General features: G+C 42.0%; 1 protein-coding gene across 12 annotated transcripts in view; it reads left to right on the top strand.

The window, feature by feature from the left end:
- Positions 1-16,258, top strand: part of ESR2 (estrogen receptor 2) — a 111,907-nt gene that overhangs the window by 76,263 nt on the left and 19,386 nt on the right. For 8 of the 12 annotated variants that reach the window (NM_001291712.2, XM_047431076.1, NM_001291723.1 and 5 more), the window contains 3 exons: positions 1,603-1,902; positions 4,987-5,125; positions 12,672-12,805. In NM_001291712.2, the coding sequence (NP_001278641.1) occupies positions 1,603-1,902; positions 4,987-5,125; positions 12,672-12,805 (573 nt within the window). Of the gene's footprint in view, positions 1-1,602; positions 1,903-4,935; positions 5,126-12,671; positions 12,806-16,258 lie in introns of those variants that run through there. The other 4 variants (NR_073497.1, NR_073496.2, XM_047431078.1 and 1 more) reach the window with 4 other exon arrangements.

The following is a 16,258-nucleotide window of genomic DNA, read 5'->3' as shown; positions in this document are numbered from 1 at the left end:
TTGAGCCCAGGAATTCGAGACCAGCCTGGGCAACATGGTGAGACCCTGTCTTTACAAAAAATACAAAAATTAGTCAGATGTGGTGGTGCACACTTGTAGTCCCAGCTATCCAGGAGGCTGAGGTGGGAGGATCTCTTGAGCCTGGGAGGTTGAGGCTGCAGTGAGCTGTGATCATGACTGTACCACCATACTTCAGCCTGGGTGACAGAGACCTTGTCTCTTAAAAAAAAAAAAAAAAAAGTAAATCCAAAGAACAAGCATATAAATCAACTTTGCTAGTAATTAAAACATACAAAGTAAAGCGAGATGGTTTAGTTAGATTAGCAAACATTAAAAATGATTTTTAATGCCCAATGGGTTCTGAGAAAACAGTCAAACTATTGAGGACTGGGTAACATAGTAAGACCCTAGTTCTACAAAAAAATTTAAAAGTTAGCTGGGCATGGTGGCATATTCCTGTAGTCCCAGCTACTCAGGAGGCTGAGGCAGGAGGATTGCTTGAGTCCAGGAGATGAAGGCTGCAGTGAGCTATGATTGCATCATTACACTCCAGCTTGGGCAACAGAGCAGGACTCTGTCTCAAAAATACAATTAAAATAGTGTAGATACTACAATCTAATTTTGTGTATAAAGGCTGGGTGCAGTGGCTCACGCCTGTAATCCCAGCACTTTGGGAGGCCAAGATGGGCAGATCACTTGAGAATCAGGAATTTGAGAGCAGCCTGGCCAACATGGTGAAATCACATCTCTACTAAAAATATAAAAATTAGCCAGGCATGGTGGCGGGCTCCTGTAATCCCAGCTACTTGGGAGGCTAAGGCAGGAGAATCGCTTGAACCCGGGAGGCTGAAGTTGCAGTGAGCCAAGAATGTGCCACTGAACTGCAGCCTGGGTGACAGAGTGAGACTCCGTCTCAAAAATAAATAAATAATTTTGTGTATAAAACGTGGAAAAATATGGTGGCAGGCACCCATAGTCCTAGCTACTCGGGAGGCTGAGGCAGGAGAATGGCGTGAACCCGGTAGGCGGAGCTTGCAGTGAGCCGAGATCACACCACTGCACTCCAGTCTAGGCCACAGAGCAAGGCTCCGTCTCAAAAAAAAAAAAAAAAGAAAAAAGAAAAATAAAAGCATTAAAAAGACTGAAAGAGTTTATGCCAAAATTTATTCTCTTCTATATTTTTCAGATTTTTTCACTTAATTTGTTATTTGAAATATACTTGTTTTGTGTAAGTATAAGGAAATATATACATATGCACACATGCATATAAACATTTTAAGAATGTGTTATAATAAAAGTATATTATTTGATACCTTTGGAAATATCCCCATTTTTCTACCTGAAGAAAATTCCTAATTTCATGGTTTGGAAACAGGTTTATGAGCACTCTTTATAGAGAAACGGTGTTAGTATCTATAGATGACCTGGAAATGGAGACCTAAAAAGTTTCTGAAAAGTTATGTCGTTGGTTTTGCTAGTACGGTCACGACCATAGTAATCTTTGGTACGTGCCCCACAGGCTCCAGAAAATAAAAGTCAAGCTGCTTTTGCTTGACTGCGGTTTTACCCTGGCAATTCGAATGACTCTGCTTTCCTCTTCAGGCTCCCGGAGAGAGAGATGTGGGTACCGCCTTGTGCGGAGACAGAGAAGTGCCGACGAGCAGCTGCACTGTGCCGGCAAGGCCAAGAGAAGTGGCGGCCACGCGCCCCGAGTGCGGGAGCTGCTGCTGGACGCCCTGAGCCCCGAGCAGCTAGTGCTCACCCTCCTGGAGGCTGAGCCGCCCCATGTGCTGATCAGCCGCCCCAGTGCGCCCTTCACCGAGGCCTCCATGATGATGTCCCTGACCAAGTTGGCCGACAAGGAGTTGGTACACATGATCAGCTGGGCCAAGAAGATTCCCGGTAGGGCTTTCTGGCTATCAGTTTTCCATGTACTTGTAGAAAGGCCGGCCGCTAATATTTAAGGGGCAAGAGTACAAAGTAGAGGTCCATGAGCTGTGCCTAGATATTTAACAGGTCCTCAGCTGGATTTGTAACTTTTAAGTGCAATATGTTCCTTCCTTCTGTCTTGGCATACCTACCTTCAACAAGGCCGTGTTCTGATTTAGAATTCTGAGACTCTTCTGAGTTCTGTACCCAACATGGTAGTGCAGAAAGAGTTGTGCGTGGCCCAGCCATTTCTATTCTTGACTGCCTTCTTTTCCCATGGCTAGATGCATCCCATACCACCTTGCACAAACCCTATCCTGTGTGTCCACATCTGCTACAGACACTCACCTGTTGGCCACCTCTCATGCCTAGAGGTGGTCTGGGAGGATGGACCCAGGGAACCTACCTAGGCTCTGGAATTGGGCTTGGGGTCATTTGGGCAAGAATCCTAGAGTCCTGGAACCTGGAACGTGGTTAAAATGATAGACTCCACATTGACCCATTTCTTGGCTGTGGATTCCTCACCTTGAAAGGAGGGGTGGGGTAGAGTACAGTATGACTAGTTTGAAAGTGAAAGGTTTGTCAGATGCTAAATAGAATTTTGTAAATTATTGTTCCAGTAGAGAATCAATATTATGTACATAAATGAATATGTATGGACAAACAGAGTAAATCAGTGGTTGAAGTTACACGAATCATCAATGGGCCCATAAACCTGGAATGCCATCAAGTTAAAAATGAGCTTAGTTACTCATGAGTTGTCACTTGGAACCTGCGTTTTCCATCCTCCAAAGTGATCACTTCTCTCAAGCCCATTTGTAATATATATCTGAAGTGCTGTATGATGCTAAAATTACCAGCTAATTATCATTTGACTTGGTGTTTCTGTGGAGGAGTGAATCTAGGATTCTAACCTAGAGTGGCAACACCCCACGATCCCCCTGTGACAGCTTCTCCATGCTGTTCTTTACAGTCCTTGAAGAAATGAAGTCTCTTATAAGTTCTGAGCCACTGGGGGCATTCCCATGGCCTGGAGGGCAGCGACTGCACTGGGCAAGCTGTAAAGATGAGGAGGGGTGAGAAGCTGGGGGAAGAGAAGTTTTGGGTAAAGAGCCTGGGGAACTGAGGCCTATGGTGACAGTATCATTTGGGGACTTTTGTTGGCCTGGGCCCATTTCTTCTGAGCTTCCTGAGGATTTTTGGTTTCTAGTTGTATTTTGTTTTGTCTAGCATCTTCACCTTTGCCAGAATTATTTTATTTTCTCTGCTTTTTCCCAGGGGAGGCAATACTGATGCACTTTCCTCTAGTTTTTGCTTTAAATGTATTCCAAACACGATTTTGCAGGACCACACATGGAGAGCAGTGGTGAAATTAATTATTGCTGAAAGCTGTGCACCTTCTTTGTGCCATAAGAAATCTGAACTCTTAAACTGCATTATTCCTTATTCAAGCCTGGTGTTTTGAAAAGTTTTCAGGAAACGTAGACATAATCTGAAGGCGTGATTTTTTTTCTCCTCTCTTAGCTGGCATAGTCATTGTCCAAACCAAAAAATATATATTAAAATATCATCTAGCCTTGATCTTGTTGAATATCTACAAGATTAAGAACCGTGATCTCTCTTGGGTAGGCTTATTGTCAATCACTATGGGTGAGACTGGGAAGGTATATACACATTAGGAACCTAAACTGAGCAAAGCATGTGGATTTAGAAAGTATTTATCCATCTTTACATTCATAACACCATTACATTCTCCTTGAGGCAGATTTGCGTTATAATTGTTCAAAGACTTGAACCATGTGTGTTCTCTCTGCTGTAGTTTCCTCATCTGTAAAACAAGAATGATAAGAGATCCTGCCTATAAGACATTCTCAGAGATAGGCATTGTTACCCCCATTTTCCTATAAGAAAAACAAAGACTTAATGGGAGATTAAGTGAACAGCTAGAAAGAGGCTGAGCTGGGGTTCGAACCAGAGTCCATTTCACTCCAAGGCGGTGTCTTTTGTTATCATATTTATATTACATGGCCCTCTCTTTTTATCATGGCTTGTGAAGGAAGCCCCGGTGTTCTCTGCTTTGCTTTTGAAGTGCTTCCCTCCCCAGAGATTACCTGTTTGCAAACAGTACTGTGACCAACATGGGTTATTAGGTTGTCAGGACCTGCTTCGTTATTATATTTGCTCTTTATTTATTTATTTATTTATTTATTTTTGAGACAGGGTCTCGCTCTGTTGCCCAGGCTGGAGTGCAGTGGCGTGATCTCAGCTCACTACAGCCTCGACCTCCTGGGCTCAGGCGATCATCCCACTTCAGCCTCCAGAGTATCTGGGACTACAGGCACCTGCCACCATGACCAGATAATTTTCTGTAGAGATGGGGTTTCTCCATGTTGGCCAGGCTGGTCTCAAACTCCTGGGTGCAGGCAATCCACCCACCTTGACCTCCCAAAGTGCTGGGATTACAGGTGTGCTTGGCTATATTTGCTGTTTAGGATAGAATCACCCAGAAACAGTGCTTCTACCCAGAAGAAGGATCTTAACACTGGATAGGAAATTTTAATCAATCAGAGAAATCCTTGCAGTTGAGGCCTTGGTTTTCTGTGAGGGCTGGCACTGCTCTCTGCAAGCCTCCAACCCCAACCTCCACCTACCCCATCCCCCACCTACCCCATCCCCCACCCCTTCTGATCCCAGTCAAGGATTGGGTCAGACAGGCAGGTCTTCTGACTGGCAGCCAAGCATCAACATTCTCAGTAGTGCAGAGGAATTATCAGGACACAGCTAACAAAGATCAGTTCTGAGCCGAGGTCGTAGTGCTTGACAAACTCTAAATGAAGTATATTTGTCTCTAGAAGGGGTCCAAGACTGGAAACTAAGTTGCGCAGCTTAACTTCAAAGTTTTCTTCCTTTAATGAGCAGTTAATCACATCTATAAAATATCAACTCCCTAATGGTTTGTGTTTTCTTAGTGTTTTAACACTTGCCATTCTGTCTCTACACACACAGGGAGCTGAGGAGGAGGGGTGGGGGTGTCTCACCGCCTCTTGCTTTCCCCAGGCTTTGTGGAGCTCAGCCTGTTCGACCAAGTGCGGCTCTTGGAGAGCTGTTGGATGGAGGTGTTAATGATGGGGCTGATGTGGCGCTCAATTGACCACCCCGGCAAGCTCATCTTTGCTCCAGATCTTGTTCTGGACAGGTGAGAAAAAATACATTGTGTTTCTTCTCTGACTTGTTTGAGTAAGGTGCTTAGTGAGTGGGAACAAAGTCCTGGGTGCTGCAATTAAAATCTCACACTTGCAGGGCAGAGGATGATAGCATCATCAGCTCCTTCACTGGGTCAAGAACCAGAGAAGGAGAGAGTTGGGTCCAAGGATTCAGGGTCCTGTGACTCATTTTTAATCTGTGGTGCAGCAGCATTTACAGGCCAGCGCTTTAATAGGGGACTGTATCCCGTAGGTATGTGGCCACTATGTGTATAAGTCGACACAGATTTTTCTCCATTAAAAATTCCATTTTCAGGTTATAATCTTAAGTTGTCCTGCTGTTTTTTGTACCTATAGTGACCAATTATATCTGGAGCTTTCTGGACAGGTGATAAAATTCTTAGAAATGTGCCAAGTTTATTTTCACATGCTTTAACTCACTCTTTTGTTTTTTTTTGTTTTGTTTTGTTTTGTTTTTTGTTTTTTTTCTGAGATGGAGTCTCTCTCTGTTGCTCAGGCTGGAGTGCAGAGGTGCAATCTTGGCTCACTGCAACCTCCGCCTACCGGATTCAAGTGATCCTGCTGCCTCAGCCTCTCAAGTAGTTGGGATCACAGGTGTCCACCACCATGCCAGGCTAATTTTTCTATTTTTAGTAGAGAAGTGGTTTCACCATGTTGGCCAGGCTGGTCTTGAACTCCTGACCTCAGGCGATCTGCCCACCTCAGCTTCCCAAAGCGCTGGGATTACAGGCGTGAGCCACCATGCCCGATCTGCTTTAACACATTCTAATGCATGTACTATATAGCATTTTTGGCAATAGCGGTGGAAGGAAGGGTTACTAAAACTATATGAAACTTAACAGAAAATGGGACATGATGCTGTATCTTGGTTGTGTTTGATTTTCTTTTAAAGATGACACAGAAAAGGAAACAATTTTTAATTGACTTAGGTGAACTGTTTATGGAGGGAAAGCTGGACTGTATAAAAATACTCAAGCTTTTTAGCAGGAAAGTAGAACACCCTCTTGGTGTAAATTCGAGCAGTTCGAAATCTTCTTGGAAATTGATTTCCACATCTCTTTTATGGAAAAAGTGCTAGGTTGAATGTTCAGCCACATCTGACTCTGCATAGCGTGGGAGGATGCCTAGTGTCTACCCCAACTCTTGCATTATAATCCTGTTACCACTTTAGATCATCAGAAGACCCTGTGTTACACAGATGAAGAGTGATGCCCCAAGGTATCAGTCCCCATTCTGCCTTTTGTCATGGTTGACAATGTTATTAAAAGAGCACTGTTCTGCATAATGGTGTTTTGATAGAGAACAGATCCTCTGAGAAGAGCTGGAGGACTGATGTGACTTGAACAGGAGCAAGCCCAGGTGGTAAACCATGGAGGGAGGCTCTGGAAGACCAGAGAAGTTCAGGGCACAAGACCCTTCAGTAACAAACAAAATAGTTAACCTATTGGCTTGTATGTGCTTGGCAGCACCTTATGCATTTAACTTATGTCAACACATTTAATCTTCACAATCTTCCTGCCCCCTTTGAGGGAGTAGGATCCATTATTATCTCTATCATTCAGATATTGGAAATGGGAGATTGAGAAACCTGCTTACAGGTAGGATAATAGGTGGTGGAGCTGGACTTGGGGGGTTGCCAAATGGCAAACTAACTCTCTACTTTATTCTACCTGTTGTTATGGGTGACAATGTTGACAAAGAGCACATTCTGCAGAACAGAGATGTTTTGGTAGAGAACAGCCCTGTTTTACTTGTAACACACTGCAGAAACCCACTCTCCCCACTGTCATCTCAGGGTACCATGTCGCAAGGCAGGCTGAAAAGCCAAGCACCTAGCCAAGCCATTGCTCTCATTCATTCATTGTATTCTGCTTGGTGTTTTAACTGGGGCCAAATATACATATGTATAAATATACACATATAATTTTCCTTGAAGTTAGTCCTAGGAACACATTCCATCCCTTGACAAATAATTTGCAGACTTTAGGATTATTTTATCTTTTGTCTTGATTTCTAAATTGATGCCAAATTTAGTGTTTATTTTTGGTGACTATTTCATTCCTGGTTTTTAGTACAATTAACTCTCCACTCTCCCATTTCTCTGTATGCGTTCTTTAATTCCTGTAATTGTGTGTATACATTACTATAAGTGGACACAAATCCTGGAAAAATATTAGGCCTACCTTTTAGTTAATAGAAGAAAAGTTATTTTTCTTACAAATTATTTCTAATAGACTTACACTGCCTTTATAACTTAAGTGAAAGTATTATGTTGTAAAACATAAATCTAGTATATTTGATTGAGTATAGAAGAGGAATTCTTGGGAATTGTAAATGCATTCATGTTGAGCAGGCATTTTTTTTTTTTTTTGGAATGACTACTGGTGTTTATTTGTTGTTGCAATTTCTAGTAGTTTTTGTTTGTTTGTTTTTTGTTTTTGAGATGGAGTCTCGCTCTGTCACCCAGGCTGGAATACGATGGCATGATCTCAGCTCACTGCAATCTCCGCCTCCCAAGCTCAAGTGATTCTTGTGCCTCAGCCTCCTGAGTAGGTGGGATTACAGGCATGTGCCACTACGGCTGGCCAATTTTTGTATTTTTTTTTTTTTTTTAGTGGAGACGGGGTTTTACCATGTTGGCCAAGCTGGTCTCGAGGTCCTGACTTCAAGTGATCCCCCAGCCTCAGCCTCCCAAATTGTTGGGATTACAGACGTGAGTCACCACGCCCAGCCTACAGTCTCTAGTATTTTTAACACATTAACTTTCTGAAGTCTGGAACTTGAAGTCTAAGATAGTTCAGTTACTTAGTCCTCTCTTATACAAATGAATATACTTTTATGTAATAGGTATATTTGTAGAGGAGTTGCTCATTCAAAAAGTCAGGAGTCATGCTCCATAAAGACTTCTATTACGACTCTTTTTTGCAAAGTGAAGGGAATCTTCACACCATTTGAAAATAACTGTCTTCTGCTGGATTGTCCTAGCAGAGCTTCTTCAAGTGGTAATATGGCTGAATAAACAGTGAATACAACTAACAGTTGCCCATTTGTGGATACTGAAACTATAATTTCTGTTTCCCTTTATTCTTGTTGAGGTGTCCACAACAAGAAAACTTGTGTCTACTGAGGATGAGAGGAAAATCTCATTACTTCAGCTTATTTCTAAGCATTTAGTTTTTCTTTTACTAACCACTAAATTCATCATAAATTCACGTGAAGATCTAAAGAACCTGACTGTCTAATTGCTCAAAAAAAAGTCACATATGCAAAGACATTTTTGTGTCCTTAGTATCAACAGGCAACTGACTAATGTTAAATTATTAGTCAGAGGAAGTTTGTATCTGGCTTGGATCCCATTGTGGACATTTGCAGATAGGTCCGTGGAATTGTATATGTATAAATGTCTTGAGTTTACATTCACATTAGTTATTTGTATGCTAAATTCCTTCAAGATAACCACCGAATTTTCAATTCCCAATTCTAAGCCTTAAACACTCCCTGCCATTGCCATACACACAGAGGTAAACCATGGTCTGTACCCAGGTGTGTGCTGCGAGCAGAGATATATATATATATATACACACACATACATACACACACACACACACACACACACACACACACACACACACACACAAATAGTGTACCCCTAAGGGAGGCCCACTCATTCAACATTTTGTTGTTGTATTAAACAATATTCTTCTTTAGGCCAGGCACGGTGGCTCACGCCTGTAATCCCAGCACTTGGGGAGACTGAGATGGGTGGATCACCTGAGGTCAGGAGTTCGAGACAAGCCTGAGCAACATGATGAAACCCCTTCTTTACTAAAAATACAAAAATTAGCTGGGTGTGGTGGCAGGCGCCTGTAATCCCAGCTACTTGGGAAGCTGAGGCAGGAGAATTGCTTGAACCCAGGAAGTGGAGGTTGCAGTGAGCCAAGATCACGTCATTGCACTCCAGCTGGGGCGACAGAGCAAGACTCCATCTTAAAAAAAATAAAAAATAAAAAGCAATATTCTTATTTTATAAAGAGTGATTATTGGCCGGGCTCGGTTGCTCACACCTGTAGTCCCAGCACTTTGGGAGGCTGAGGTGAGTGGATCACTTGAGGTCAGGAGTTCAAGACCAGCCTGGCCAACATGGTGAAACCCCTTCTCTACTAAAAATGCAAAAATTAGCCAGGCATAGTGGTGTGTGCCTGTAATCCCAGCTACATGGGAGGCTGAGGCAGGAGAATCACTTGAACCTAGGAGGAGGAGGTTGCAGAGAGCAGAGATCATGCCACTGCACTCCAGTCTGGGCATCGGGGTGAGACCCTGTCTCAAAAAAAAAAAGTGATTGTCAAGTAATAAATTTGATATGGTTTGGCTCTGTGTCCCCAGCAAATCTCATCTGAAATTGTAATCTCCACGTGTCAAGGGAGGGATCTGGTGGGAGTGATTGGATCATGGGGATGGTTTCCCCCATGCTGTTCTCATGAGAGTGAGTGAGTTCTCACAGGAGCTTATGCTTTAAAAGTGTTTGGCAGCTCCCGGCTGTCTTGCTCAGTCACTCGCTCTCCTGCCTCCATGTAAGATGTGCCTTGGTTTCCCTTTGCTCTCTGCCATGATTGTAAGTTTCCTGAGGCCTCCCCAGCCATGCAGAACTGTGAGTCAGTTAAACCTTTTTTCTTCATAGATTACCCAGTCTCAGATAGTGCTTTATAGCAATGTGAAAATGGACTAATACAAAGATATTCCATGTTATTACTGATTTTATTTAGTAGTTTATGGACAGATAGTGTGCAAAAATAAATTTCCTGAGTAGGTCAGTTTGGTTGATACATTGTTTCAATATTTTAACATTCAAATCATATGCCCTGTTTTTGTTTTTGTTTTTTTTTTTTTAGAGACGGTCCCGCTCTGTGGCCCAGGCTGGAGTGCAGTGGTGCCATCACGGCTCACTGCAACCTTGGGCTCCTGGCCTCAAGTGATCTTTTGCTTCAGCCCCCTGAGGAACTGGGACTATAGGTGTATGCTACCATGCCTGGTTTATTATTATTTTGTAGAGACAAGGTCTTGCTACATCGCCCAGGCTGGTCTAGAACTCTTGGCCTCAAGTGATCCTCCCACTTTGGCCTCCCCAAAGCACGAGGATTACAGACATGGGCCACTTTACCCAGCCAGCCCTGTCTTTAATTCAACTCTTTTAACCCTGTCCTAATTTCTTACTCATAATTCAGTTTCAATCTAAAATTATAAAATAAATAAAATAGATGTCATTAATTTAGAGTCTTTACTAACTTTGTTCTGTGTAACTCATCTGAAAGACCTTTACTGGGCTGTCATTTACGATGTCTTATACTTTATTGCCTCTTCATTTCTCATTTATTTTGTTGAAATGTATTTGGTTTCTGCAGACTGTGGAGTGAATAAAAATATTCTAACTTTGCCACCCCTTGAATGAAATGGTTGACTGTCACACCTGCTTAAAAAGAAAGCAATCAGACCTAGTTCTTTAGACTTTGTTTAGAAATTAACTTTCTCCATGAGTTATGTATGGTCTGATTACTGTGAGGGACAGCCTTTATCAGGGTTTAAAATACCTCAGTATGCCAACCCTCCTCCCATTTTTGGAACATAAATTTGCAGTGAAAATGGCATATATTTTAATGAGGAAATGATACCAATTTCAATATTGAGGAACTAAGGCACAGGTACTTCTGGAAAATAGGATTGATTTCAGGTGGGTTCCCTTACCATACCACTTGGGGAGGGGTGTGTGTGAGTGTGTGTGTGTGTGTGTATGTATTGTGCATGTGTGTATAATCCCACATCAGCACAGAAGAATAAAGAGATAATCAAATATCAATGCAGGAGTTGGTGGGTTTTTTTGTTTTTTTTTTTTTTTGCCCCATAGAGATATTTTCAAACTAGCTTTCCTTAGTATCAAATGTCCCCAAGTCCAACAGTTACAATTTCCAATAATTAATTGTCCGCAGGCAAGGTGATTCAGGTGTTTTTTGTGTTATCTCTGTGCAGGGCTTGTGTTGTCCTTACTGGATGCCTGCATCAGGTTGCCTGGGAGAGCCTAGAGCTGGGGAGGTGGAAAGATGAGGCTTCCTGTAGATTTGGCACTCTTTGCCCAGTGCTCTGGATTCTCTAAGACGGCCTTTTCCTATGAGTGACTTCCAGGGGGCACTGGTGTTTTGTCACTTAACCTGTGTACTTATAGAAAATTGCAGGTGTTTACAGAATTTATGATTTAGTAAATTTAGTAACTCAGTAATGCTCATATACCAAAGTGAGCAATTTGCATGCTTGTAGCTCTGTGTGAGCGAGTCTGGGTGGGAGAGTGTGAGTGCTTCGGAATGCAGGATCCCGGTGAGTGCCATGTACGGCAGGTAATGGGAAAGACTTCTGCAGGACTGGTGTATCCAGTGGTGTCAGAGGCTCTTCCCTGAAATACTGCCATCGCTGGAAATGCCCTGAGTTCGGGGAAGGAGGAGGGGAGCAGCCAGCTCTTTGAAGACCTCAAGGCCCCTTCAGGGGCTGCTAGAGACTAAAAATGGAACTCGCATAAACCCACTGCCCTTTCTGTGTGCTGCAGGCTTTTGGGAGCAAAGGGTGGTTTTGTGACAAAATCATCTAACTGCTTGTCAAGGACTTCCAATAACCCTGTGACTGACAATAATAGAGTGTTTTGGGGGAGCAGTGAGGTGGAATAATGTGTGTCTGGCTGGAGTGAATAGAAGCTGGTATTTTCCAGATAAAGTTCAAGTAATTTACTTCCAAAGTATATTTAAACATTTATTTCTACAAGGAGTGCTCCAAAGAATTTTGATTAGATGGCTCAAAGTTTAAAGATAATCCTTGCTTGAAGATAATCCTTGGCAAGTCAAAAATTTTTCCCCACCTCCATGTATACCTTCTTTTCCTGATTCTAATCCATCTTCTCTAATTGCGATTTCTTTCTCATAGTCAGCTTTTTCAAATTACAGGTAAATGTCTTAGTTGCTACACAAGTTTCTAAGTGACCACCAGGAAGTGAGAGTTAAGCCCTAGATATGGAGTTTTATTCTTGGGATATTTGCTTCTGTGACACACGGTCTTCCTCATTAATACTTCCCGATGGGAACATGAAGTGTCTCATTTTGAAATACGTGTCATATCTGGGGCTGGTTGACTGATATGGTTTTGATTGAAAACAATCAATAGGAGTGGTATTGCTGTAAGAAAACATTTGGTGAAAATGTAGAAGGAAAATATTCCAATGCACATTTTTGCCTAAATAATATTTATTCATATATTTACTTCAGGGATTTATAGGAAATGGCCTATCTTCTTTATATGAAGACAATTCTAGTAATTTCATATTGCTGGGTGTGGTCTCATTAACACCCTGTTGTAGTTAAAATGATATTATCAGATGAACATGTTACAAGATGAAACTTGAGATTAAAAATAAAACATTCCTTATTGTTTTTTTGATGGTTTCCTGAAGCTATGTTCCTTAAATTTCCAAACGAACTTTTGTAGGGATGAGGGGAAATGCGTAGAAGGAATTCTGGAAATCTTTGACATGCTCCTGGCAACTACTTCAAGGTTTCGAGAGTTAAAACTCCAACACAAAGAATATCTCTGTGTCAAGGCCATGATCCTGCTCAATTCCAGTAAGTAATCACACAGCTGGGCCATGTTTTATCGGGGAGAGATGCTGTTTCTACAACTAGCGTGATATTAAGAAGAATGTTGAACTTCTATTTTATTTGAAAGGGTAAAATGGTTTCCTTTTGGACTTCGTTTTTATTTTGATAGCGATTTAAACTGTAGGTAACTTTTGGTAACTTGGACATAAATTACTCATTAAGTGAATGACTGGCAATCAATTTAAAAGTAGCTCAAGCCACTTGCTGGAAAAGAAAAAAAAAGGAACTTTAAATTGTTTATCTTTTAAACTTTTTTCAGTGCTCACACAGACACTTTACATGGTTGGCATGCATTTATACTTATGTCTGGGGTCCTCCTTTTTTACAGATTCATTCGTTCAGTAAAGATACAATCCTACCCTCAAATGGCTCATAGTTTAGGCAGGGAGAGAGAGAAAACAAATCATTAAAAATAATGATTTCTGTGCTATGATAAAGTCTACACAAAATACTACGGGAAAATAGGAGGAGAGATGCTGGAGTTGTTGCAGAAGGGAATGATTGAACAAATCTTCAGGAAAGAGCAGAGGGAAGTAGGTATGACTTTAAAATGCAGTGCTGAAGATTAGAAACTGCTGCCCAGGCTTTGGGCAGCTTAGAAGAGGTTCAGGCAGGGGAGTGTCATGCACAGATATGCGATATAGAAAGGTCACTCTGGCTTCCATGTGGAGGACTAGAAAGGGCAGAGACTGAAGCCGGGGGCCCATTAGAGGCAATGAGAGCCTGAACTGACATTATGGCGTGAGGTCAGGGAGCAAAGGACTTGACTTGAAGGAAAAGTGGGAGGTAGAGGAGGGAAATAAGGTGTCTAGGATATGCAGATGGTTTCGTTTTGTTGGTTTTATCTTATATAAATATCTGATTATTGTTAATAAACATTCAAATGAGAAAAACATACAAGGAAGAAAATAAAATCATCAGGAATACCTGCCCTCAAAATAACCACCATAACTTTGGTGACCATTCCTTTCTTTCTTTTTTTTTTTCTTTTTTTTTTTTTTTTTGAGACAGGATCTTGCTCTGCTGCCCAGGCTGGAGGGCAGTGGCATGATCATAGCTCACTGTAACCTAGTACTGAGCTCAAGTGATCCTCCCACCTTGGCCTCACAAGTAGCTTGGAATACAGGTGCATACCACCAGACCTGGTTAATTAAAACAATTTTTTTTTGTAGAGACAGAATCTTGCTGTGTTGCCAGAGGTGGCCTTGAACTCCTGGCCTCAAGCAGTCCTCCCACCTCAGCCTCCCAAAGTTCTGGAATTTACAAGCGTGAGCCACTGTGCACAGTCTGTATCTTGTTTTTTCACTTTTCTTTTTGAGACAGGGTGTCACTCTGTTGCCCAGGCTGGAATGCAGTGGCACGATCATGGTTTACTGCAGTTCCGACCTCCTGGGCTCAAGTGATTCTCCCACCTCAGCCACCTGAGTAGCTGAGACCACAAGCACCTGCCACCACACCCGAATAATTTTTGTATTTTTTGTAGAGGTGAGGTATCCCTGTGTTGGCCAAGCTGGTCTCAAACTCCTGTATTTTTGTTTTTCTTTTCAAAATGCTGTGAAACCATTCTGGGTCAACTAGGAGAGATCTAACACAATCTTTGATATGAGGGCATTATACTAAATTGTTCAACCATTTCTCTGTTATTAAATATCCAGTTCCTCTTCCTTTTTAACCATTATAAACATTACTGCAATAAATAGAGATGTGTTATTTTGTATGAATTTCTAAGTTTCTGGATGGTTGTCAAGACTGGTCATTTCACGATCTACCTGGTGTCTAAGCCAGCCGCTCTAGCAGATATTGATGGCTTTGCTTAGCCATTTACTCTTGTCGAGCCTTTAGGTTATTGACTTTTTTTCTTCCTCAAACACTGTATATCCAGGTTTTAATGTTCACCTGAAGACTTACAGATATCTCTATTTAGACAACATATTGGGCCTTATTTATCCAATCTTAGAGTTCGATACTTGAAACAACAGGGATATATCAGATCATATTATACTACGGTCTTTAAATCAGCCAAAGTAGCAGTTCCTGAAGCCAAGATTCAATGCAGAATTCACTGTGGTCACATGTTTCCAGCTGCCTCTTGATCTGGGGCCAGCTGACCTTCATACGTGTCTTCTCTCACAGACTCTTGGATATTGGCACTAGTTTTTTTGTTTGTTTGTTTGTTTTGAGACAGAGCCTCACTCTGTTGACCAGGCTGGAGTGTTAAGGATAGTTACTTTTGCAAAATATAACAAAAATGAATTATGAGAAAAATAAAAGTGTAAAATACAAGTCCTAGTTTATAATATTATTAGTTATCACATTCAACTGATTTAAAATTACTCTGTCGATTGCTAAAAATGTTCCTAAATGCTTACACTCAATTTCTACCCATCTCTTTGTAAATGGGCAACAGACCATACATTAGCTCTGGAGAGAGCACAGGATACTGTCCAAGAGTTGCTTGGATCTAGGGTGGAGGGTGGGGTTAGCCCCTGAAGAACTGGGTGAGGGAGAATGAAGAAGGAATCTGAAGGCCATGTGAAGGTACAGAGACCTGGAAGACAACCTTTGAGCATTTCCTAGTTAAGTCTCAATCTGGCCTTACCTGCCTAACAGGTCATTTCCCCTGCACCCAACACACCCTTCCCTGTTTATTGTTACCATTCACCTTTTACAGAATAACATGAGGGCCCAGCTTATACTGATGATTATGTTGATGTGCATATAAGGAAAGTCCAGCCAGGTGTGTTTTTTTTTTTTTTTTTTTTTTTTTTTTTTTTTGACAGAGTCTTCCTGTGTTGGCCAGGCTAGAGTGGAGTGCAGTGGTGGAATCTTGGCTCACTGAAACCTCCGCCTCCCAGGTTCAAGTGATTCTCAAGCGATGCCTCAGCATCCCAAGTAGCTGGGATTACAGGTGCATGCCACCATGCCTGGCTAATTTTTGTATTTTTAGTAGAGATGATATATTAGTCTGTTCTCACACTATTATGAAGAAATACCTGAGACTGGGTAATTTATAAAGGAAAGAGATTTAATTGACTCACAGTTCAGTATGGCTGGGGAGGCCTCAGGAGACTTACAATAATGGCGGAAAGTGAAGAGGAAGCAAGATACCTTCTTCACAAGGTGCCAGGAAGGAGAAGTCCCAAGCAAAGGCAGAAGAGCCCCTTATATAACCATCACATCTTGGGAGAGCTCACTCACTGTCATGAGAACAGCATGGGGGAAACTGCCCCCATGATTCAATTACCTCCACCTGGTCTCTCTCTTGACACATGGGGATTATGGAGATTACAATTCAAGATGAGATTTGGGTGGGGACACAAAGCCTAACCATGTCAGACAGGGTTTCACCATGTTGTCCAGGCTGGTCTTGAACTCCTGGCTTCGAGTGATCTGCCCACCTTGGCCTCCCAAAGTGCC

The sequence above is a fragment of the Homo sapiens genome, chromosome 14, assembly GCF_000001405.40.
Source record: "Homo sapiens chromosome 14, GRCh38.p14 Primary Assembly".
Lineage (NCBI taxonomy): Eukaryota > Metazoa > Chordata > Mammalia > Primates > Hominidae > Homo > Homo sapiens.
Note: the sequence above shows the minus strand (reverse complement) of the source record. Positions and strands in the feature narration are given on the sequence as shown.